We start from the raw sequence: 26,192 nt of genomic DNA, 5'->3' as shown, positions 1-26,192 counted from the left end.
AATGCTGCAGGCTTTTCGACTTATTCCAAGGAAGTTCTTGATTATGCTAAAGTTTTTTTTTCCCTTTGCTCTTCCGTCCCCCAAACTACCTTTTTAACTTGTTCATTTCTTTGAATCATTTGGGCCCTTTGCTTTTTCTTCTTTGTACATCTTCCAGTTTGTCAGTAGGATGTAGCTGGCACTTGTACGGCATGCATTGCATCTTCTGCTTCTCCATTGCGGGGATGGGGCAGTACTGTGAGATTGCTGCATTCCAGTGGTGCTTGTGCATTTCATGTTTTCCTTGACACTTCCTGTGACAAGCTCTCTCATGGGGCCAGGACGATACCCGTGGTCAGCGATGGAGGTTCCTTTATCTTTTAGGCAAATCTGTTCTCCTGGCAGTCTGGATTCTTGAGATATTGCTCACAGGTTTAAAGCATCCAGGAGCCAGGTTAGAATGATACCACAAATTCTTTTTCATTAGAGGTGGTTTGCTGTAGTTCTGTAAGGTCTGATTGCTTTAAAAGTCAGAAACTTAGGCTCAAGTCCCAGCTCTGTCACTGAGCCCTCAGTGTGACTTTGGATCACACTGGAAATTTTATAGCTGGAAAAGACCATCTAGGTCTTCCCTGGACTTCCAGAAAAGGAAACTGAGGTTTATAGAGGTTAAGCTTGCCCACTTCAGAGCTGGGCAGAGAGAATTCCAGCTTTTTGCTTCTAGGCGAGGGGACCACACCATACCTGCTCTGATCTTCTTCCTCCTCACTTGGGAAATGTGGATGACAGCCTATGCTCACTTTAGCAGTTGATGAAATTGTATGGATTGAAAGTACTTGGAGACTCTTTAAGGCATAAAGCAAATGTGCAGTCATCATTTTCTTGGAGGAAGTAAGTCTAAGCAGATAGCTGGGGCACCATCATCCTCTCCTCCTTTAGCATATGGGAGGGGAGTTGGAAGCACGCTTTCGTAAGCCATCATTGGAAATCCATCCCTTTCCTCTATTCACTTCCCCCTTCCTTCCCTTTCTGCAGGATAGGCGTGATTAATCTGTGGTACTGGGAAGAAGAGTTCACTGAGGTTTTTGTGTTCTGGAATTCGGTTTTCTACCAGCAGTGTCTTCCTAAAATATATTCCTCTTTATCTTGCTGAGATCATGATAAAATATAGAGCTTCTACTCCATTATCCATCTATTAAGAAAATAGAGAAAGCTGAAGAGACTGATGCCAGGGACTCCCCCAGGGGCCGCCATCTCACACTGACTCAGTGTCCATCTTGCAGAAAGGAGAGTTGGGACAGATTTGTCATCTGCATGCTTCAGTATTTGGGTCCTGTAAGCTGAGCGCCTGGATCAAGTGGTATGGTCTGAGGTGGGAAAGCAAAGAGAAGAGAGTGCTGTCCTTTTTCATTTGGGGCTAGTGTAACATTAAGAAATTTTACTTTATTCTTGGCCGGGCGTAGTGACTTAGGCCGGTAATCCCAGCACTTTGGGAGGCGGAGGCAGGCAGATCACTTGAGGTCAGGAGTTCAAGACCAGCCTGGCCAATGTGGTGAAACCCCATCTCTACTAAAAATGCAAACATTAACTGGGTGTGGTGGTGTGCACCTGTAATCCCAGCTATTCAGGAGGCTGAGGTAGGAGAATTGCTTGAACCCAGAAGGCGGAGGCTGCAGTGAGCTGAGATCACGCCACTGCACTCCAGCCTGGGCAACAGAGTGAGACTTGCTCTCAAAAAAAAAAAAAAAAAGTTTATTCTCAGTCAGATCATGTAAATAAACTCCATTCTATTGTTTTAGAATGATCATGACCAAGAAGAACCCAAGTTACTTATAACAGCTCTTTCAGTAAAAGAATCGCAAAATAATTATCATTGACATTATTTAAAACTCTGCGGTAACATCTGATTGCATCAGTGTCGTTTAGCAACAGGTTGACTCTTAAGTCGGACAAGTTCATTTATACATACGCAGTGTTCTTGTTCATGAATCCTTAAGAATAATACCAAATGCTGTACATCAGACTCTTGTTAGGTAATATTCCTGCACCCAAGGTCTCACTTTGTGGAAGTGACAGTGGAGATAGAAAAAATGTTATTTCCATCAAAACTGAGAAGGAAAACAATCCTAAAGACTAGCAGTAACAGATGCAAGAATGGTGTGGTGTAGTAGAAAGAGTCCGGGATGTGTCATCACGCAGACCTGGATCGCAGTCTCGGCTCTGCCCTTGTGAGTCATATGACCTTTGGCAGGAATTTAACCTTTCTGAGCCTTAGCAGTCAGCTAGTGGAATGACAAATAGCCCAGTAAGGACTAACTCAGACCGTGGTTGAGAACATGTTCCCTATTCAGCTTTGTTGGAAGTGGCCCTAACTTGGAAAAAACCTACTTTGCCCAGTAAAATTCCCAGCATCCATGTTCTAGTCTGTAGTCCTTGGACATTGTCCTCCCTTGATCCCCTGCCAGCGGCTCCTCTTACCTAATGGCCCTGTGTCATGTCCCGTCACTCAGACATGCAGGGATTGTGGTTCTGTCTACTGCACCCCAGTTTAGAGAGGGACAGTAAGTGGGATTAGACTGCTGTGGAGTGGTCACCAATGTGGTCTGAGTGGCTCCACTTTTGCCCGAATGCTTTCTCCCAGTCAGGCCGCTCACCTGTCCATTTCAAAGCGTATTGAAGTTGGACCTCCATAAGCCAAGCAGGTGTGTTGGGGAATGAACTGGAATCTTTGGTGGCAGGTCTAGAATGCAGAGTAAGAGAAATGGCAGAGCCAGGCAGAAGAAGGATGGAAACAGGAGCAGACACGTCTGTCCCATCATTTCCCCAGCAACTGTCAGGCCTCGGGGCCTCAAGGAGAACTGTTCGCTTGTAAAAGCAACAGCAAACACGTGAAGCATGAACACACCCTTTAAAGTCTCAACAGTTCTGTTGAGACCATCTTAAATTGATGATTGTATTCAAATATAGTTAACAGCATAAAACATAAGTTTATGTTTATAATAAAATTATTTAAGTGAATCTGTTACTTTTTGCAGGTACTCTGTCCAGATATAGATTCCAAATACACTGAAAAAAAAAATTGACAAACTAGAAAACCTTTTTTTAAATACTGTGTTTTATTGAAATAAAATTTAAATATTATAATACAGATGATCAGTTTCCCAAGAAAGTAGGAAGGGTTCTTACCTCTAATTTCCTTGCTGTGAAAGTGTACGTGAGTACAAACTCATTTTTCTAATATCAAATCATTGCTGCTTGTGCACAATTTGGGAAAACTGATTATTTTCTGAAAAACTAACACCAGGAGGAGCTACTAAGCAGTAATTGATTCACCGCCTCCAGTTCTAAGCTGGCAGAATCACCCGGTGGACTTATTAGAAATGCATATTGTAGGCTCTGGCTCGACACTAGAAATCAGCATTCTTAACAAGCTCCCAGGTAATATGGTATGTAATTTCAGAAACAGTGACCAGGCCATTAGACTGAAAATAATTCACCTTTTCTGAATTTAGAAAAGGTGTCTCTACCTTTTGAGAGAGTTGCAAAAGTAATTGAGGAGGAGATGGAAAGAGTTTAGTTTTACCTGGCTTACTGCCAAGAGACTTTCCTAAACGGCCATCGGTGCAGCTTTTGAATTGCCTGGTTGGCTTTTTTTCCCCAGGAGTCCTGGCTACATGTTTGACTGATAAAAAGAAGTTATTTTTCTCTTCTTTAGTAATTTCCACTGTTATATTTTCTTTTATATATATCAAGTGGAAGTGTAACTTCATATTGACTTCTGAAATCATGTGCTAGTTAAAAACTGGTAAAAATAATATGTTGCCACAGTCTCATTCTGATTTGTTTCCAATTACGTTTGAGGGAAATGGATTTGGGAGGGCCTGGAAGTCAACTTGAAGTAATAATTTCTCAAGGCTGGAGCCTGTGCTGCTCTCATTATTTCAGCAGCACACATGTGAGTATGCATACACGCACACTTCAGTGGGCATTTAATAAGCATTACCCAGGCCACATGGACTCTAAAAGAAATGCAGTTAAGTTTTCAAAAATGTTGGCTGAGCAGTTTATTCAAAGGCAGCCTACCCGTGTCCTACAAACATCCCAGAAACATGTGTGTGGATGGGGCAGTTCCAGGATGGAATCTGTCTCCCCGTCTATTCCTCACTTCTAGTGTAGCTGTTACTCCTGAAAAGTCAGTTCAGTACTTCATTATTTTCTTTAAGAATACTTGCTTTATTTCTGATAGAGTGAAGTAGTAAGGACTGTTTAGCTCATCATTTAGAATGTCCCACCTGCATGCATTGGTAGATGGCTGAGATTCTCCTGACATGGTTGTGTTAGTGTAGATTTCTTCTCTCCATCAGACAGTGGAGAGGTCACTAGTTCCTGCTGTACCATTTCCTAATTCAAATTTTTGAATAAATTATTTTGAATTATGAGTTAATACATCTCTGTGACTGAAAATAAGCTGTTTTCTTTCTCTTCAAATTATATGAAGGTATGAAAAGGTGGTTTGAGGCATCTTTTGCTGTGATGATGAAGTGCTAGAAATAAAGTGAATTTCAGGCACCCCTGGTGGTCCTCAATGCTTAGGTTTCTTCTGAATCTGATTCAGGGGTCCTCTTTTTATTTTGAATAAAATAGTGGCTTACATATATTCCTGAAGCTGCAGTAATCTACATGACTTAGGCCCTGTTTGTTTTTAGAAAGTTGTTTCTGTTTTTTTGTTTTAAACAACAATATTGTCTCCTATAACCATGTGTTCAAAACTTTGAGATCAGGAGAGGCCACTGTTGACTGTTTGAGGCTCTGCTAGCAGGCTTGAGCTAAGTGCAGTAGAAGTGTCTTCCAGCACACCCTTTCTGTCACACAGTCAGTGGCTTACTAACAACAGTAATGCCTTGTATTTGAGGGAGCTTTTGGTTTTTAGAGTGCGGTTGAAACACTGTTTCCTTCTAGGTCCCTGAAACACCAACCCTGAGAGGTAGGAACTACTCATGAGGAAGCTGACAAAGGTTAAAGTAACCTGGCTGAAGACTCAGACTAGTGAGCGTGAAGACCCCTGCTGAAAAACCAGGCCCTTCTCCCTCCACGGCAGCAACACTCTCCGTCACCCGCTTTACTGTACTGGAGGTTCACGTGTGTTACTGGGTAGGGGAGACAGAGAGTGGATCAGCTTCCATTCAAGCTGTGGGGCTGTTTCTTCTGCTTGGTTCTTACTGTCAGCATTGCTGTAGGGCAGAGTTTCCCAAAATGTGTTCCTTGGAACCATCAGTGTTGCTGGTAGATGTTTGGGTTGGGAGGAGGGGAGTGCTGATAGTTGTCATTGTCACATGCTCAGATACATTTGGGAAACACAGATTAAACATGTAGATATTTAACAATTTTTTTCATTGCATCCTTCTTAGAGCCTTTTATATGGTAATGAACATGGTTCATCTCTAAAACTTAATGTTACTTTTTTGACTGGAACCCTTTTTTTTTTTAACAGCTCTTAGTATAAGTTGAGGAAAGCTACACAAGGTTACTAAGGGGAAAAAATCGCAGATAAAAAATGTGGGCAGAGTAATGGATTCTTATCACCTGTCTGGAGTGAGCAAGTTTGTTTTCTAGGACTTCCCATATTTTAAACATTGTATCTTTTAAAGGAAATCTATTATCAGAATAGAACTAAACAAAGAGAACAGCAGCCCGGAAGGCATGCCTGGCCAGCTCAGTCCTCCTCTCATAGAGAGTTCTTCATTCCCTTTCCCAAGCTGCTCTCTGGAAGGGGGAGCTGATGGCTGAGTGAGTCTTAATGGTAAAGGCTGGATACGAGAGGTAGAAATGGAACTCATCGGATTCTTGCGGGTGTCTCTACTCTGGTTGAAATTAAACAAATCGCACCTCTTTTATTGTCCATTTCCCCCCGGGGATCCTGTGCCTTTCGCATGCCTGGAGTCTTTGACTTCAGATGGAAGTTCTTTTCCCCCAAGCTGCCCTGTTTCTTGGGTTTTGCTCACAGTCCCTTGGAAGCCTCTCTTATCTGAGCCAATCAAGCTCCTTCCATGCACTCAGCAGATATTCTCTGTGCTCTTCTAAGTCATTATCTGCGCTTTTCAGAATCTCCCATCCCGTTATCATTTGAACTGACTGGTTCTCCAAATCTCTAAGCTCTTTCACCACTTGGCCTGCAAAGTCATCAGCCAGTTCGCTTTTTGAAACACCTGTACCTTTCTTCTGTGACGATAATAGTTTGTCTTAAACCACCTTTAGGCAACTAAAGCAATGGCTCTGTTTTATTCATCCATACAAAGCTTTGTTCAGTTGAATGGGACAGAAGCTTAGGCATCATGAAAAAAAAAAATCAAATGGGATTTGTGAATAGGGCCTTTTTGTTGTTTTTTGCTAACTGTCATAATACTTGGCATTCCGTAACAGAGATTTTGGTTTAAAAAGTGAGATCACTTTACTTTTGACTTTACCTATTTAGGTAATACAGTATGCTTTGAGAGTCTTGGGATTTTTTCTTACAAGCAGTGACTATAAAAATAAGTCATAAAGTCACAAGTTAAAGACTTTTATTGGGCTGAGGCAGGTGGATCACGAGGTCAAGAGTTCGAGACCAGCCTGGCCAACATGGTGAAACCCCATCTTTACTAAGAATACAAAAATTAGCCAGGCATGGTAGTGTGTGCCTGTAGTCCCAGCTACTTGGGATGCTGAGGCAGGAGAATCACTTGAATCCGGGAGGCGGAGATTGCACTGAGCCGAGATCGCGCCACCGCACTCCAGCCTGGGCGACAGAGCAACACTCCGTCTTGGTGTGGGGGAGAGAGACTTTTAATTTTTACTTAAGGTGACGTTGATTGTTAAAAATTTTGCTGGCATCTTTAGAAAGGACCCTTTCTGCTTCATTGATTAGAGCAGCTAAGAAAGACAGCCTGGGAGCAAGCCAAGCCCTCTGTTTGTAGCCAGGTCAAAGACATTGCTATGAACTGAACTTGGCAGAGGCAGAGGTTTGATAATCCTTAGCCCTGGAGATTTGGTGAATTTTCTTACTTCGATATTAGGATTTTCACCCAACCAAGTGATTTGTTTTTTGAATGAATTAATCTTAGAATTTTGCATTTATAAAGTCAAGAAGCTTTTGGATTTTGTCTTCTGATTCTCTGAATGCATACCCACTTTCTAGATGAGTATAATATTTGTCCTTTTTAAAAGTATTTGGAAACGTGAGGTGTTCATTTCTAGCGTCACCCTCCTTTATCACCACCTGCATTCTTCAGCAATGTTAAATCTCTCAGTCTGACACAGATGGGAAGCTTGCCCTGAATAAATACAGTAGATAAATGGTCTTTCTGTTCCTGGGAGGAATTCAGAGCACTTGTTATATTGATGTCACTAAAAACAAAATGGAATCTTAAAAACATACATGCACTCGGATTTTAGTTTTAAACCCGTAAAAGTCTAATTTGAACGCATCTTCCCACTCATTTAAAAGTAGTAACAGCAGCTGAGCGCAGTGGCTCATGCCCGTAATCCCAGCACTTTGGGAAGCCTCGTGATCGGACGGATCACAAGGTCAGGAGTTCGAGATCAGCCTGGTCAACATGGTGAAACCCCGTCTCTACTAAAAATACAAAAATTAGCCAGACGTGGTGGCAGGCGCCTGTAATCCCAGCTACTTGGCAGGAGAATCACTTGAAACCAGAAGGCGGAGGTGTTGCAGTGAGCTGAGATTGCGCTAGTGCACTCCAGCCTGGGCAAGAAGAGCGAAACTCCGTCTCAAAAAAAAAAAAGGTAGCAACAGGCGAAGGGTTTGCTCCTTTTTACTTTGTAATACTGTTCGGATATTTTAAGTCAATATATGATGAAGCTACTTTTTGTGAATAAACAAAAGTTACTTTTCTGTGTAGGTTAACGGAAATATTTGAAATTTTAAGATCTGTATGTTTTAAATGTAATTTAAAATTTTATTTTTAAAAAATTGTAATTTAAAATTTTAATCGTGATAGATTACCAGTGATTGAGCATTAATATTTTGGTTCATCTGAGCCCATTTCTAAAAATACCCCTTCACTGCCACTTCATAACGTTCTCACTTTTGAAGAGAAAAATTAATGAAGAGAGTTATTCTGGTGACGACACCTGCTTAGCAACTAGCAAGTCCATTTTTTAAAACAGTTTACATTTGTTCAAATTTAAAAACATTCCTGATCTTTGAATGTAGTTATCTTCTCACACAAATGCTATGTTGAGCAGCGTAGCTTTTACACACCCCAGTGGAATTATTTTGTCGCCTCTTTGAATCTGTTACTAGATACTCATTGCAATATTTGTTTGAAGTTTATCTTGAGTTAAATCTGTACAGGTCATAAGGAATATACTAAGAGGCTCCTCAGTGACTCATGTTGTCATGATTTGTTACAACAGCATTAAGTGTATTCATGTTGCTGCTTTGACAGAGATCCCTGAGGCAAAATGGTTTGTAAATTCACTATACTTTTGTTTTTCAAGTAAGGTCTTTTTTTTTTTCTGGCTATTGAAATTAATGACCTTTAATAATTAAAATTAAAACAAATGCCCCCGTTCCAGCGGACGTCTGTGTCCTTTCTTTAGCATTAATTCCTTAGAAGCTTTTTGGTAGAAAGGTAATGGTCTAGGTCAAGCTTGTCCAGCCCATGGCGGGTGGGCTGCATGCTGCCCAGGGCGGCTTTGAATGTGGCCCAACACAAATTCGTAAAGTCTTTTAAATGTTGTGAGATATTTTTGCAATTTTTTTTAAATAGCACATCAGCTGTCATTAGTGTTAGTGCATTTTATGGATGGCCCAAGACAATTCTTCTTCTTCCAGCGTGGCCCTGGGAAGCCAAAAGATTGGACACCCCTGGTCTAGGTGAAAACATTTGGGCAAACTAAGCTCAGGAGCATAACTCTTGGCTCAGAAGAACTTGTCAATAATAATTTGGTTTGTAGACCAGTTAATTGAGCATTATGTAGATAATATGCTTGTTAAAATAGTTTAGAGGATGCAGACACTAGGAGTTACAGACTTGGGGGCAGGAGCTCTTCAAGCTTACACTTCTTGAAGCACCTCAAGCGGAAGATCATGCTTTCGTCATCATGTGTATCTACCCCTAGCAGAGTGTTCGCGCATAGTAGGCACTCAGTAGATGTTAGCGAGGGTCAGAATGGCACGCCGGGAAACACGTTCATTTGGAGCAGGATCTAGCAAATCCATGGAAGTGGCAACAAGACAGTCTGGACAAGGGCTGAGGTGCAGTGTGCGGTCAGCTTCCACCTGGAAATGAAAGCTGCTTGACTGGGAGAGGTAAGGGGGCATCTCAGATAATGAGATGGTGTATTGTGTATACTCACACTAACTAACATAGTAAACATTATGAGCTAAGTAATTCACACAGGTGACAGCTATGCCATGAGGAATACAATGTAGACTGCTGTTTATCACATCACAGCAATTAATCGTGTCCCTGAAGTAGTTCTTTTTTTCCTATTACAGTCACCTATAGATACAACCATTTAATCTCAAGATGCTAAAAATACCTTTGCCAGAGTACCGGCGGCGTGTATGTGGTGTACCATCTGCAAGCCTTTCATGAATTCCATTCCTGAGAGTATTTCTGTTTGTTGTAAACTGCTTTACTTCATCTGTTTCTCCCAGAACCACTCCTGAGTGATGGCGGGTGCCAGGCGCTCTTAACCATGGACTGTGAAGAAGAGGCACAGTCTGTCCCTTCAGGGAGCGCACAGCGTCACGGGGGAGGGACGGTCAATGATTTTGATGCGGTTTGGTTAACTGTTGAGCTGGAGGCAAGGTGTGCACGTGGCCCCCGGGGCATCTCCCTCTCAGGTGGGTTCCTGCCCTCCTGGAGGAGGTGTTGTCCTTGCTAGTCCATAAAGGACAAAAGGGTCAGTAAGAGAAGATGCAGGAGGATTTTCAAGCAGAAGTAGCAGTGGGTGCGGACGTGAAGTGGAAAGAGGGCAGAGAGGAACCTGCAGCTGCAGGCCCATCCAGCGCGGAGAGTGCAGGGAGAGCGAGGCCAGCGCATCTGCGGGGCCTGCTGTCATCCAATGAGAGGATAATTCTCTAGGTCTCTAAATAGCTGGACCTTTATCCAGAGACTCAGACTCCAATAGCTGATCGTAATACAGACAAGCTCCAGCGCTACCCTTGCTGGTCCTGAGCGGGAGAGAGGGGGCGGTCCTGGCCAGCACGGAGAGTTAAGAGTCTCATCACTGCCAGGTGTAACTGGCACCTCTGTGGAGAGACTGAGATGGGGCATGTTGTCCTGGGGGTCTCAGGGCCTTCAAAAGCTGCACGCTTCTTGTCAACCTGGAAGAGGGCAGGATGTCTCCCCGCTCCCAGGCAGGAACCGCGGCAGCACCACAGGCCAAATGCAAGTCCTTTGCCTCGCGCAGTGCTGGAGAGAGGTTGCCGCCACCACCCTGGCGTCTCTTCCAGGGTTTATAGTTTGTAGTCAGACTCTCTCTAGAAAGCCAGGGGGCCAGCAGATCGCCCAAGCACATCAGCAGCCGCCACAAAGATGGGGGCTGGAGCTCCCCAAACCAAAATAACCCACCAGTCCTTTTAAAAGAATATAGCTATGTTTCCAACTTTGCACTGAAGCCTAAATTCTAATTGTAGCTTCACAAGCAGGTTTCAACAGTCCCCTTTATTCTCAGTTGGAGTTTACCAGCTGGCATGCCACAAGTGGATTGTTGGTGGTCCGAGGGGTTGATCCCCTCAGCCCTCGTCACGGCCAGGAGCCTGGAGCAGCTGCCATCCCTAAGCTGGTCACTTCATACTGTGCCTGCAGTGACCCAAGGATGCTGTGTACTGAGCATTTGCGATGTGTGCTTCCACCGAGGAGGGACGGGAGTCACTAGAGGCTTCAGATGCTTTAGCTGCAGCTGGATGTTGAAAAACAGAGTCTTGTTATGAATTAATTTTGACTTTTCTGGTGGGTGTTGAAAAATAAGCTGAGGATCTAAAAAGGGGGGATTTTGGCTGGGCATGATGGCTCATGCCTGTCATCCCAGCACTTTGGAAGGCTGAGGCAGGCAGATCACGAGGTCAGGAATTCAAGACCAGACTGGCCAACATAGTGAAACCCCATCTCTACTAAAAATACAAAAAATTAGCCAGGTGTGGTGGTGCGCACTTGTAATCCCAGTTACTCGGGAGGCTGAGGCAGGAGAATCACATGAACTTGGGAAGCGGAGGCTGCAGTGAGCCAAGATTGCGCCTTTGTACTCCAGCCGAGGCAACGGTGGGATACTCTGTCTCAATAAAAACTGGGGGAGGGAGGGGGATTTTTTTTTCCCTGAGAGCCCCCATTAGACATCTGCAGGGAGTATAGACTGTTTGTTTTGCGTGTACTTGAGAGCTTCTGGGGCTTTGAAGTATGGGACGGGGCTGGTTGCTTTTGCATTTTAGAAAGATCCCTTTAGCAGCAGAGATAAAGCACTAAGAATGAAGAGGGCAAGGAGGGGCCAGACTGAGGCAGGCAGGTAGAGGTCGCTGTTCCAGAGGATGCCAGAGCCCGAGCCTGAGCCTCAGCCTGAGCTGCTCAGTGGTGGCAAGACCCAAAGAGAAAGGGGCAGCTTGGTGGAGTCATGTTGGGAGGTCGAGGCCCTGGGATTGGGGGCTGACAGTATGGACCAGTTGAGGCTCCGACAGCTTGGATGGATGGTGACACGGCTCCTGGGAGAGGAGCGCACGGCAGGGCAGACGTGCAGATGGGAGCAGCTCTGGATGTGAAGCCTCTGCTGGCTCACCCTTGCTTCCTCCCCCTGGCTTGCCTGTCATCTCATCGCTCGTGCTGTTAACTTTTCCTCCACATCTGACCTGATGCTGTGAGGTCCTTCACTTCTTTCATGTACTCATCAGTGCATGTCAGAGCCTTCTCTGCCATCGAGTTGTGACTTCCTGAAAAGCCTCTTTTGTTCTCATTTGAACACTTTTTCTGTCATTTGCTGTGCTGGAAGACTTTTTTATTCAGCCCCGTTAGATCGCTTACAGACACAAGCCGGTGGGGTGTAGTTGGGGAGGAACCTTGAGAGAAGCATGGGGACCTTCTGGAAGGGAAAGGGATGAGGAGGGAACCTGAGTCCTGAGAGTGAGTGCAGACGGCGCCTCCACCTGTGTCTTGTCGAGATGAGGGTCAGGACCTGCCGCTTGGCTGTGACAGCATCCTGGCCTCCTGAATGCAGTTGTCCTCACAGAGAGAGCACTCTGCCCTAGGCTTGTAGGGTTTTTTCGGTGTGAGTTTTTAATTTCAAATATTTTTAAATTATAAAAGCAGTACCTGTCCACTCTAGAGAAACCATGACCTGTACATAGTACATTAGGAAGAAGGGGGAAAAATCCATGATCCAAACAGCCAGAGATAACCACAGTGAAAAGCTGGGCACGTGGAGGTGTGTGTGTGTGGTCTCAGTGGTGTGTACCCTTCCTGTCTGTCTCAAAAGCAGGGTCATCGGATACGGACAATACTGAACTTGAAAAACAATTGAACACGTTTTGTCTCTTTAGCAGCTTGCGTTTTTGGCTCTGCCACTGGGCCTGTGACATGTGTTGTTTATGGTCCCTGTGCTATTTGAGGACATTCCTAAAATGCTACTCCTCTGACCACTGCCCTGTCTACATTGCAAGGGAGCTCCCCTCTGGACAGAGGCTAAGATGAGTAAGTTCTGGAGACCTAGCATACAGTATGTTGACCACAGTTAATAAGAACACACTGTGTACTCGAAATTTGCTAATAGATTAGATCTTAGGTGTCCTCATCACTCCCAAAGGTAACTGTGAGAAGTGATGCATGTGTTAATTAGCTTGACTGTGGGGATCATTTTGCTATGTATATGTAGGTCAAAACATCACATGGCACACCTTAAACATAGAGTCTTCCTCTGTCACTTATACCTTATTACATCTGGAAAAAAAGGATGCTCGTCCAGCATGGCTCCTCATCTCGCTGGCCCATCTTCTGTCTATGCAGGGTCCCCTCAGTTACACTGTAGTTACATGGTCAGTTACCGTCAGCCTTGGAGAAGGTGGGAGTCTTTTATTCCTGCTCCATGTTCTGTCTGCCTATGAGATGCCTGCTCATCCCGTGAGGGAAGGCGCTGCAGCAGGAGGGAAGGGGAGGCTGGCAGGAAGCCGGTACTGGGCTTGTCCCTTTCACGCTCCCACAAAGGGCTCTGCTCTTCAATCCCCACCCCCACCCTCATCCTGCTTTTCCTGAGCTCCTCAGTTCTGGTATTACATAATATTCCTGTTAGGACCAGTTCCTGTTTTGCCAGGGAGAGGAATTGTGACTCTTTCAGGGAAAAACCCTGTTCTAACATTAGTAGCGGTCTCTGGCGGCCAATCCATGATCTCATAAGGGAAACCCACCGCTTTGCTGTCTGAGTCAGCGCACAGATGGGGTCACCTTTCTGCCTTGGTTGGCTTCCTCTCAGCCTTGTTTTTCTGCAAGAGTCCACGATGATTTCTCCTAGGATAATGGAACTGCCAGGCTTCAGGTAGGCCACTTTCTGTGACCACTTTCACTTAGACACAGATGCCTTAGGTTACTTACTGTACTCCAGGAAGAACTCTAATGATATTATACCAATAGATATACATTCACTTTTTTTTCCTGTTTTTTTTTTGAGACAGTGTCTTGCTCTGTCTTCCAAGGTAGAGTGCAGTGGCACGATCTTGGCTCACTGCACCCTCCACCTCCCGGTTTCAAGCGATTCTCTTGCCTCAGCCTCCTGAGCAGCTGGGATTGCAGGCACATGCCACCATGCCCAGCTGATTTTTTTGTATTTTTAATAGAGACAAAGTTTCACCATGTCTTCAACTGCTGGTCTCCAACTCCTGGCCTCATGTGATCTGCCTGCCTTGGCCTCCCAGAGTGCTGGGATTACAGATGTGAGCCACTGTGTCTAGCCTACATTCACTTTTTAAAACTGTTGCTTATGGAGAACTTTACATGTGTATAAAAGTAGAGAGAATAATAAAGGAGTCTGTCTGTGCCCAGTACCCAGCTTAACAATGATCAATTCGTGGCCAGCCTCATTCCAGCTGTACTCCCACCCCTCTTTCCCATTACTGAAGCAATTCCTACACATCACATCATCCTATCTGTATGTATTATATATCTAAAAGATAAGGACTCCATAACACACAGTCACAGTACTGTTATCACACCAAAAAACATTAACCACAGTTTCTCAGTATCATCAAATCCAGTCAATGTTCAAGTTTCCCCAGTTGTCTAATAACTTTTTACTTTGAATATGTATTTGAATCTAACAAGGTCTGTATATTATAGATTAATTGATAATGTCTTTCAGACTTTCTTAACCAATAGGTTCTCATTCCTTCTCTCTTTTTTCTTTGCAGTTTATTGTTGAAGTCACCTTGGATTCCTTGTCTTACAGAATTTCCCATGTCCTGAATTTTGTTGATTTCACCTTCCCAGTGGGCTTTAATGTATTCACTTCGTAAAGAGACCGTACACTGACTCACTTTAACCACATAGATTACCATCCCTGCTGAATCCACATTTATCCTTAATTTCCCTTGTGTGGCTTTTTACCAAAAGGTAAATGGTTCTTGCCATCACATAGCTTACAGTGTAATCTGAAAGATAATAATATTGTAAACTCTTTCAAAATACTAATGTCAAATAGAAGATATGTCAGCCAAGCATGGTAGCTCACGCCTGTAATCCCAGCACTTTGGGAGGCTGAAGCGGGATTGCTTGAGCCCAGGAGTTGGAGACCAGCCCGGGCAACCTAGCAAGATCCCATTTCTACAAAAAATTTAAAAATTAGCTGAGTGTGGTGGTCCATGCACTTATAGTCCCAGCTCCTTGGGGGGCTGTGGTGGGAGGATTGCTTGAGCCCAGGAATTCGAGGCTACAGTGAGCTGTGTTTGCGCCACTGCTCTCCAGCCTGGTGATAAAGCAAGACTCTGTCTCTTGGAAAAAAAACAAACAAACGTGTGTGTGTGTGTGCATAAAATATGTGTATGTGTGTATATATATGTAAATACATTTATATATATAATATATCAAATATAGACATTTCTGCTATTTATGCATTCATGAAAAATATTTTACAAAAATATAAAAATAACAGAGCTCATGGGAAAAATTGGGTAAGAGTCAAACTGTTAAAATGTATGTCGTTTTACAACCAGAATACTTGTTGCCTACCCCTCCACACACACAGTAATTGTTCCCTCATGAGATAATTCACTGAGATCGGGGGGCTACTTGGGAGTCTTAAAAATGTTCAAAGACAGTCGAATAGACATGCTCCCCATTAGGGGTCCACAGTGGGGTGCAATCTGCCACTAGCTGAGGGCTGTCTGGGGAGAGGCGCTGGGTGCAAGTGCAGTTTGCAGGTTGGTTCCTGGGAGTTGGCCTGCAGAAAGTTCCTAGGAGTGCTTTCAGGACTGCTTTCTGGGGGAGCAAGAGGGAGGAAGCAAGATTACACAGGGAGAGGATTTGGCCTGCAGTATACACTGAAGTTTTCAGCTGACTCCACAGGGAGCTCTTCCCAACTGCCCCAGATCTTTGGAGGGGGCAGAGTCTTTGTGCCCCTGCATTGACCAGTCACAGGGTCCAACCCTGTGGGGTGAGCCCTTCTGGGGCGTAGCTCACGCTTAATTTTCCTAAAGTAGGCTGGAGGGGTCCTGCCTATGCTGCAGCCACGCTGAGACTTGGGACTTTTTCTTTCTTTCTCAGGGTTATAGTTCTGCTCACACTGTCTTGGCTCCCCTTGCTTAGGAAATGTCACGTTTGAACCGTGCAACTCCCCACTTTTACTGGCACCATTCCCCTGTTTACCAAGACAGCCACGCTACTTGGTGTTGTAGAAAGAGCCAACCATGCAAGAGAATAGGAAGGCCTCTTCACTTTTGTATTGGCTTCAGGAAGGTATTGATGCCGTTTATAGACCTAACTCTGATGTTCAATTATCAGGTTTGTCAGTCCCAAGAAATTCACCTAAAATGTAACGTCTCTTTAAATATATTGGCAAGGAAGTGAACAAATGATTAAGAATAATTTTTTAAGATAACAAGGCATTTTGAATCGATGAAAATGTGAAAAATGAAGGATTATAAACCAAAGGCACTAGTGGATCCACATACAACCTGGATGTCCTCAGTGAGGAAAGTGACTGCCTCCCTTTTACTCACCGTGGTCTAGCTCTGCGCTCGCCACATAAACTCCCTTAATCTGGTAGTGATATACGCAGTCCAGAATCTTTTCAGGTAGCTAATCCTTCCATCTTTAATTTGATTTTCAGGGTAACAAACCTAAACACTTGTCTAGCTAAAGAGAAAAGAACTATTCTCAGTACACTATTTGTGTTCCATTAGAGTATGTAGTGTTTGTTCCTTACATGGAGTGGGGTCCTGTACACACGTATATGTTGGTATACATACACAAGCAACAGACCTCCACATACTGGGTACTTAAAAATCGGTCTTTCCACACAAGTTAGTTCAGTGTTGTGAAAAGCATTTGTATTTAAGATCTTTCTTATTTGAGTTTGGGGTTTGAGAACTTTTGTTCTAGAGGAAAAAACAGCTTCAACCCCAGCTTATTGTTCAAACTGTCCCAGTGGGATTGCTATAATAAGAACTAATTGTAATTAGTACAACAAATGTTTGTATAAGTGAGTGCTATCCTATTGCTTGAAGCTACCTGAAAGTGTTTTTTATAGTAATTTAAATAAACATTTTCCTGTGCCTTAGGAGTTCTTTGTAATTCAAACTGTTTATAATTAAGTCATTTGGATAATTTATCACCGAAGCATGATTGGATGGAGTCTAAGAATCTTATCTTTTCGTAGACTGGTTCTAAAGTAAAGTATTAAAATAAGATTCTGATGGGTTAACTTGCTACGCCAATCCTTCCATAGAATAATGCAAGAAGCAGCTTAAACTTAGCTTGAAGTTAGTAGGATTTCCTTAATAGCTGTAAGTGTAGTTTAGAATATCTCTTGATGCTTATCTGTCTTTAAATTGTAATCTTATATAATTCCATTGGAACTACTTTGTAACAACCAGAAATTTCTGTTTAAAACACAATCTTGAACTAGCTTAAAACGTTATGGGAATTTTCTAAAAAGAAGTTTTTTTCCTTGGTAAGATTTAAATGATACGCTCTTTATGTTTATTAGGGATCAGAGTGCTGGTAGGTTTTTCTGTTTCTGAAGGTTCTGTTAATTCTTTTCTGAAGCCACCTGAGCCTCTAGGAAGTTCACTCAGAGTTTGCATGTCTTCGAACAGCGGGCAGTCTCTGCCAAAGAGCACGAGGCTGAAATGCTTTAGTCTTTGATTTGTCATCTGTTGTTCTTTGACAAGTTTATCTTTTCTGCATCAAAAAGGCTTGCTTTAAGCAAAGTACTAGCATTAATGACATCCCCCCTTCAGTCACCTCTGTCCCCTAACTTTAGTCCAGGCTCCTTTAATTCACGTTCTGACTCTTAAAATCACATGGAGGTTTTAAATTTTACCTGACTGGTTTTGAAGCATTTTGTGGGCCTGAACTCCAAATAGCTTTTTAACAAGTGCTTAAACTTACTTTATGCCTTTCAGTAAACTAGGTTTTGTGAGGTTTATTTTTCTGCAAGCAGAAAAGCTAACTTAGGAAAGCTACTTTGCCTAAGTAAATCTGAACATTTCATGTCAGCACCCTTTCTAAAAGGAACATAGCTTTTATAGGAAATTGTTGAGTAGACTTTGGGAATCAGTGCAGTTAGTTTTCTTTTATTTCTAGGTAGCGCTGAAACTTGTAAGTAGAGTATCAGCTTTAAAATAATGTATCGAATTCCGATTCCCAAATTGTTAAAAGTTTTAGATTGGATTTGTGTGCCTGCTTACTTTGTGATCCTAAGGAGAGCCACTTATAAGTCTTCTAAAATGTGTGATGTGCTTTCTAAAGTAAAACAGTGATATTATTCATTTAGTTAAATCAGTCATTTCGTTTTAGATCAGCCTCCTCACTCTCATCCCCTGTGTCCTCCCTGCTATGGAGATCTGTGTGTTATTATACAGGCAGAAGCATGACTTTCACATTATTTTGTTTTTTAATGGACCTCAGATACTCTAAATTGGATTAATCATGATGCATGACACATTATCATCATTGGTCAGAGTTTAGTTTAGACTCTTTATAGGGATTCTTACAAGGCTTTAACCACTGTTAGGCTCATACTGTGGAGGCACCTTCTTAACATTAGTGAATAAAATCAGCTGTCTTTGAGTTGAAGTTACAAGTGATTCATAAACAGAGCCTACTTTCTAGTCATCTGTGTCTTAAAATGTTAGGATCAGGCTTGAATTGACTCAGTGTCTTTACACAAGGCTATAGTCTTAGAATGACTCCCTTCAGGGTAATATCTCATTATTTCATAGTTCTGAGTAATAGTACTTTAATCATTTTCTTCCTGTTTCCCTCTCCCCTCCAATTCCTTTTCCTACTTAACTCAGATGTTTTTCTTGCTACCCAGTAGCATTATTGCATGACAGATGATTAAATGGGTAAGGTATAATCCCTGTTCACAACCTCATCAGGAAGTCTGGGACATTCACAGTCAACTGGAGCAAAGGCCTTGAGTGCTGTGCCAGAGGACTGGGGGCATATGTGATGCAGCGCTGGATTCAGCTTGCAGAGATCAAGGAAGATAACCTTTGTATGTGTCTTGAAGGAGCAGCAACTGGCAGGTTCAGAGGCTTTCCAGAGAGAAAAAAAGACCATATCTGCAAAGACACGGGTTCTTGAAAGCACAGGTCCTTTTGGGGAACAACAAACACACTGATGGCTAGTCTGTAAGTGCTCCAGACACTTCTCCTTTCTGTGTTACTTTGAAACAAATCCATCCCAGAAATCACTATTTCATCCACAGGTATTTTAGTACTTGAGTATTTATCTCTAAAGGTTAAGAGGTTCTTTTTTAAAATGTATAACTCCAGTGCCATTATACTCTATAAAAATTTATAGTAATTGCATACTATTAATAAGTGTTCAAAGCTCAATGTTCATAAATGTCATAAATTTCAGTTTTCTTTACATTTTCATGGAATTAAGATTCAAATAAGGGTCACACGTAACAATTGGTTGATATATCTTTTAAATTTCTTGCAATCTATGGAGTCTCCCTCCATATTTCTTTCTGTTCCTCTTTCATTTTTAGAATGAAATTTGGAATGTGTGTTTCCCCTTATTAGTAGATTACTCTGAGGAACAGTGCATATAGGAAAGACAGAATAAATATTTATATCCTTTATTTAGCAATTTCCAAATGAGGAGGTGCTCTAGCATTCTCCAAAGATGACTGGAGGGTTTTCCTTTTTTTATTGTTCGTGAATTGAAATGTTTGACGTTTCAATGCATTGCAGCTATTATCTTTATTGGTGATCAAATTTTCCATTTCTACCCAGTGGGAGTCTGGCTCCTGAGTACTTTTTTTTATCTGGACAGATCTCACTTTGTTGCCCAGGTTGAAGGGTAGTGGCACCATCTCGGCTCACTGCAACCTCCGCCTCCTGGATTCAAGTGATCCTGCTGCCTCAGCCTCCTGAGTGGCTGGGATTACAGGCGTGAGCCACCACGCCCAGCTAATTTTTGTATTTTTAGTAGAGACGGGGTTTCAGCATATTGGCCACGTTGGTCTTGAACTCCCGACCTCAGATGATCCGCCTGCCTTGGCCTCCCAAAGTGCTAGGATTACAGGCGTGAGCCACTGCGCCTGGCCTCTGAGTACTTAAAAAAAAAAATTTTTTTTTTTATCGAGTATATTTAAAGCTGTACATGTTATGAGTTACATATATGTAGTGACATAGTTACCCATTTTCCCTTCATGGCAAGAGCAGGTGTAATCTCATTTAGTGAACCTCCTGACACAGTACACTGTTATTAGCCACAGTCCCCACACCATACCTTAGATCTGAAGTGCAGAGAGCTAAGGTACAGTGTGGGGACCTACACACCTGCTACTTTGCATCCTTTGACCTACATCTCCCCATTTCTATCCCCCACCCTGCTCCAGTAACCACATTTTATCTTACTCTCTATTTCTATTCCATCTTATCAGTGAGATCATGCAATGTTTTTCTTTCCTGTCTGGTTTATTTCACTTACCATAGTGTCATCTAGGTTCATCCATGTCGTGGCAAATGGCTGGATCTCCTCCTTTTTAAAGGCTGAGTAATATTCCACTGTATACATACATACACACCACAGTTTCTTTATCCATTCACCTGTGGACAGACACTTAGGATGTTTCCATGTCTTGGCTATTATGCAAACTGCTGCGGTGAACATGGGACTGCAGGCATCTTCACAAGGTGATTTGATTTGCTTTGGGTATATTTCCAGAAGAGGGGTTGCTGGGCTATACAGTAATTGTATTTTTAATTCCTTTGGGAACCTCCACACTGTTTTTCTTTGAGGGTATGCCAATCTGCATTCCCATCAGCAGTGTACAGGGTTCCTGTTTCTCCACACTCTTGCCAACACTTATTATCTCTTATCTTTTTGATAATAACTCTCCTAATGGGTGTGGGATGATATCTCATGATGGTTCTGATTTACATTTCCTTGATGGTTAGTGATGTTGAGCATCTTTTGGTCATGTGTATGTCATCTTTTGAGAAATACCTGTCCAGCATCTTTGCCCATTTTTTAATCAGGTTATGTATTTTCTTGCTACTGAGTTGCTTGAGTTCTTTTTAAGTTTCAGATATTAACTTTATATCAGATACATGGTCTACAAGTATTTTTCCCTAATTTGTAGGTTGCCTTTTCATTGTGTTGATTGTTTCCTCTGCTGTGCAGAAGCTTTTTAGTTTGATGTAGTCCTGTTTACATATTTTTGCTTTGGTAGCCTGAGCTTTTGGTGTGATATCCACATTATTGCCAAAAGCAGTGTCAAGGAACTTTTCTCCTGTGTTTTCTTCTGGGAGTTTAATGGTTTTAGGTCTTATGTTTAGGTCTTTAATCCATTTTGAGTTGATTTTTGTATATGTTGTAAGATAAGGTCCAATTTCATTTTTTTACATGAGAAACCCAGTTTTTCCAGCACCATTTATTAAAGAGACTATCCTTTCCCCATTGTGTCTTCTTCATGCTCTTGTCAAAAATTAGTTGACTATAAATGTTTAGATTTATTTCAGTTCTCTAACCTGTTCCATTGGTCTGTGTGTCTGTTTTTTGTGCCAGTACCATACTGTTTTAATTACTATAGCTTGTAATATAATTTTACATCAAGAAGTGTGGTGTCTCCAGCTTTGTTTTTCTCTCTCAGAATTACTTCAGTTATTCGAGGTCTTTTGTGGTTCCATGTGGATTTTAGAATTGTTTTTTCTATTTCTATTAAGAATGCCGTTGGGATTTTGGCAGATTACATTGAATCTGTATATTGCTTTGGGTCATGTGGACATTTTAATAATATTCTTTTAATTCATAAGCATGGAATATCTTTCCATCTATCTGTGTCCTTTTTCGTTCATCAGTGTTTTATAGTTTTCAGTGTACAGGTCTTTTACCTCCTATGTTAAATTTATCCCTAAGTATTTTGATTTTTTTTTTTTGATGGTACCATAAATGGGATTGTTTTCTTGGTTTCTTTTTCAGCTAGGTTTTCATTTGTTTGGGATTTATCCTTGGCGTGCAAGGCTGGTTTAACTGTGTAAGTCAGTCAATGTAATGCATTATATTAACAGATGGAAAGACAAAACCACGTGATCATCTCAGTCAACACAGAAAAAGCATTCAGCATCCTTTATTGGTAAAAACTCTCAACAATTTAGGTACAGAAAGAAAATTTCTCAACAAAATAAAGGCCACTTATGAAAAACCCATAGTTAGTGTCATAACTGATGGGGGGAAGTGTGAAAGCTTTCCCTCTAAGATCTGGTACAAGACAGGGATGTCCATTCTTGCCATTTCTGTTCAACATAGTACTGGAAGTACTATTAAGAGCAGTCAGATGAGAAAAAGAAATAAAAGATCTCTGAATTGGAAAGGAAAAATTAAAATTATCTCGTTTGCAGATGACCTGATCCTATATGTAGAAAACCCCAAAGACTACCAGAAAACTGTTAGAACTAAATGAATGCAGTAAAGTTGCAGGATACATGATCAACATACAAAAATCTCTGGTATCTCTATACACAGATAATGACCTGAGTACTGTTGAGATGACCCTAAGTGGTATTTAATAGCTTCCTTCCAATCTAGTGTAAGAGTTTCCAGGTCCACTGTGTACATTTTCTGCCCCACACTTGGAGTCGTCCCTTTCTCCCTGATTCCTTTCTTTGTGGTAAGTGATATTTAGCGACACAGTCTAGGCGTTGGGGTTGTTCATTTCTTCCTAGATTGGTCTTCATTTGTAGGCCTTGTTACATGTATAAAACTATAATTTCTTTATGATAAAATATATCCTGAGTTTATAGTCATATTGCCAGATTAGATTTAGGACCACAAGTACTTAACCCCACTCATCTTTTATCTTTACTTCCCGACAGTAAGTTTCCTGGAATCAACAGGTTCCAGAAATAAAAGCATTAAAATATCACAGTACTCATTTGCTTATTTCCCATTATACACACAATAGTTACAGAGTAATGCCAATAACTTGATCATTTTAAAAAAAGAGAGAGAGAGATTCAGAGGGTTTGTTTTGGGTGTGTGGCAGTTCTTTTTGTCTTTATGTATTTCCCATTCAGTCTATACAGTTAAATTATTATGTTTTCAGTCATCTGGAATTTCTTTTTGTGTGGCTCTTCACCAGCTAGTTGCAGAATCAAGTTTGTTTCATTTCACTTTTAGAAATTGCTTTTTTGAATTTGATTTTGTTATATGTCCATTGACTTCTGTGTTCCATATTTTATTCACTTCGTTATTTTATACATTTATTCTTGGTTCTGTGGTTTGAACTTTGCACGGCCTTTAAGTGGAACCTGACGCCCAGGATCTTTCTTCACAGTGGTCATCTCACTGTCAGACTCTGCAGGGCTTGCTGCTTACACATAATCCTTTAAAAAATACGGCTAGATTGTAGGCAGTCTTAAAAGTAAACAAAGAAAATACATCCATACTTGGCATCATTTAGGATATGTTATTTCTCCGCTACCCTCCATTCCAAAATGGAAGCGTAATTTTTCTAAACCTAGGAACAGACATTCCCATTTCAATCATGTGATAGCTGGGAAAGAGCTAACCTCTCCTCCCAGAGGCGCTCTGCAAGCTAGCGTCCATAGTGGGATGCTTGCCAGGCCCTCTTTTCACTTCCCTGCTATGCTTTTGTCATTTTTGCAAAAACTTACATGGGTAAAAGCCCACCCTCTTGGACAATCTGGGACAAAACAAAGATTTAACTATGAGATTTAACAAGAGAACTACTCATTTTATCCAGATAATGGAACTATCTGTTTAAATAGCCCTTTCAAAGTAAGTTCAGCAGAGCACTAATTTCATGGGATGCCAGTGGGTGTTTACCAAAAAGGGTTCCAGGATCAAATAAATGTGGGCCATTCTGAAGTTTAACAGCGGCCACGTGTCTCAGATGGTGATATGCATTGTGAATCAAAGGGAGGAATAGCACAGGTTTGTTTCCCAAACTTACTTAGACCATGAATCCAGCCCAGTTTTTCATAAAACAACATGCTGGCATTGGAAAAGTGCTCCGTTAGAAAGTAAGGCTGCCTCTCACTTGAACCCTACAGGAGATACATGAGACAGAGAAATGTGTTAACCTATGCCACGGGGATACATTCAGCAAAAATCTGATTATGAGAGAACTTTACAGGACAAATGATTTGGTTTCATCGACAACAATTTGCAAAAACGAGAGGGATGTTCAACCTGGAATATCAATTTAGCATATTTATATTGATATTCCAGGTTGAATATCCCTAAATCAAAAATCGGAAACTCTTCTGGTCCTAAGCATTTCAAATAAGGGATACTCAACCTGAACTTTCATGAGTTCATTATCAATAACTGAGTCCATAACTAAGTTAAAATTTCCCTGCTTAGTCTAGGTTTTTTTCCAAGAGTTATATTCACCCCCTCCCTAACCCAGCCCCCAAAGACCAGGGTTTCTAAAGAGTGTAATCCTTGGATTCACAGATGTTATTTGTTGGAGAACAAAGCAGCTCATCGATGCCATTCGTCTGTATTTGGAGGAGTGTCCCATAGCCTCCCTTGTTCCTTTGCACTGTGAGGCGGATTATCCCGTGTGAGCAAGTGTGTCCTGGCCCCAGGAGATTGCTGGGTGTGCAGATAGAGGCTTGCGTGCCTGTGGAAGGCACCCGCTCTGCAACCTGGACCCCGCAGTCTTTCCACGGAGTATCTGATAGCAGATCCATCCTGTGCTACGTGCCCAGGAGCCAGTCGCACAAGGCAGTGACGGGCAGAGTGCGAAGCAATGAAAGTGGTGGTTCATTCTAACCAGAACGGAAGTCCTTATAAAAACATCTCTCCTAGTTGCTCCAGTTCCAACAGAGATGCAAAATCCATGTGTTTTTTAAAAAAAAGGCAATTTTGGGGGGACCAAACCATTTTAAGATACACGAAGAACCTCTTCTCTTTCCTTTTCTCATTCTACACCCTGCCTACCTCACTCCCTGCAGTCCCCAAGCCACTCGCACACCCAACCCCCCTTCAACTAGCTTCGTTCATTGCCAGCCATGGTGCTGTCTGCTCTGGAAAGTGGCAGGAAAAGCTGATAAGGTGCCGAGGACAGAATCTCTGGTCTTATCTCGCTCTAGCACATGGTGCCGAGAGTGCATCCTTTTCCTGTCCTAGGACAAGAGACATAAACTGGCCATCTCCCGGCAGCAAGGACTTCAAACGGGGCTTGGGCCTGCCTCTGCTTTCTAGAGGAGCCAGAAAGGAGAAAGTGGGTCCTGACTTTTTGAGAGTTGTTTTAGTACCAGTAAAAATTTATGTCGTCTTGTAGATCAGCAAACATAACTTCATAATAAGACACTCATAAAGAAGAAATGAGAAAGCAGTGAGGGTGAGGGCAGGGCCTGCCAACACACCCAAGGGTTGGAAGTTGCTGGGCTGTTTTGTTTGGTTAGAGCTTCACCAGGACACGTTCGGCCTGAAAGGATTAGATTTGGCTTTTTGTTTGTTGACAGATGAAGCAAGTGGTTTTAAGAGCTTTTGTGATAGTAAGAAACTGACATACATATGGTCTAGTGCAGGAGAAGAGGAGGAAAACACTGGCTTATTTTTCCTTCTGTCCTTCTCTCTTGCCAGGAAAGCAGAAATAACATTCCTCCCCAGATTTTCCTTCTGTGACATCATGAAAACAGGAAGAAGGGGGACCTTTCTTTGGGTTGCAGTGTGGGGGAAGGGTTGGCGGAGAAGGCAAAGCTCTGCGTCTCCAGCGTCTCCAGCCGTAGTCTGAAGGGAGCAGGGTGGCGACTCTGGTGACAGGTCTGGGCAGCACCATCCCATCCCTTGCTTCCCCTTCCTCGTGGTCCCTTCCTGACCTTACGACGCAGAGCTGGAAGAGTGGGCAGCCTGAGGTCATCATCAGCCGTTGTGAGCCTCAAGAGGACCCAGTTAGCAGCTTGAGGCGGGAGTTCAGTTTTGATTCTGTGTTACCATTTTTGGAAGAAATTGGTTGGCTGTACAATTCTGACAGCCAATTGCTGACATTCCAAAGGTTAATGACAGTGTTAAGAATTATATATATTATATAATGTTAAAGACCAATTTTTATTTGTTTGTTTGTTTGTTTGTTTATTTATTTATTTATTTATTTATTGAGCGGAGTCTCACTCTGTTACCCAGGCCGGAGTGCAGTGGCACGACTTCGGCTCACTGCAACCTCCGCTTCTCAGGTTCAGGAGATTCTCCTGTCTCAGCCTCCCAAGTAGCTGGGATTACAGGCTGCACCACCACACCCGGCTAATTTTTGTATTTTTAGTAGAGATGCGGTTTTGCCATGTTGGCCAGGCTGGTCTCGAACTCCTGATCTTAGGTGATCCACCTGCCTCGGCCTCCCAAAGTGCTGGGTTTACAGGTGTGAGCCAGCGCCCCCAGCCCAAGACCAATTTTATTCTCGAAAGCTTTTGCCTTCTCCTTTTACTGAGTGCTATGGACTTATCTAGGCTATAATGAATGCTAGAATTGTGATGGACCTTAAAAATGTAGCTGTTGATTTTCAAAGTGGATTCCATA

General features: G+C 42.4%; 1 protein-coding gene across 2 annotated transcripts in view, besides 1 other annotated feature; it reads left to right on the top strand.

Moving 5' to 3' along the window:
* Positions 1-26,192, top strand: part of PINX1 (PIN2 (TERF1) interacting telomerase inhibitor 1) — a 74,915-nt gene that overhangs the window by 37,676 nt on the left and 11,047 nt on the right. The window lies entirely within an intron of this gene.
* Positions 11,704-12,204: an enhancer, noted in NCBI's record as "H3K4me1 hESC enhancer chr8:10647506-10648006 (GRCh37/hg19 assembly coordinates)". NCBI's record gives its function as "activates a minimal SCP1, AML or CMV promoter by ChIP-STARR-seq in naive H9 embryonic stem cells {active_cell/tissue: H9 hESC(naive)}" and the evidence as "EXISTENCE:reporter gene assay evidence [ECO:0000049][PMID:30033119]".

This window comes from Homo sapiens, chromosome 8 (genome assembly GCF_000001405.40).
Source record: "Homo sapiens chromosome 8, GRCh38.p14 Primary Assembly".
Classification (NCBI taxonomy): domain Eukaryota; kingdom Metazoa; phylum Chordata; class Mammalia; order Primates; family Hominidae; genus Homo; species Homo sapiens.
This window is presented reverse-complemented; position numbering and strand designations above follow the sequence as displayed.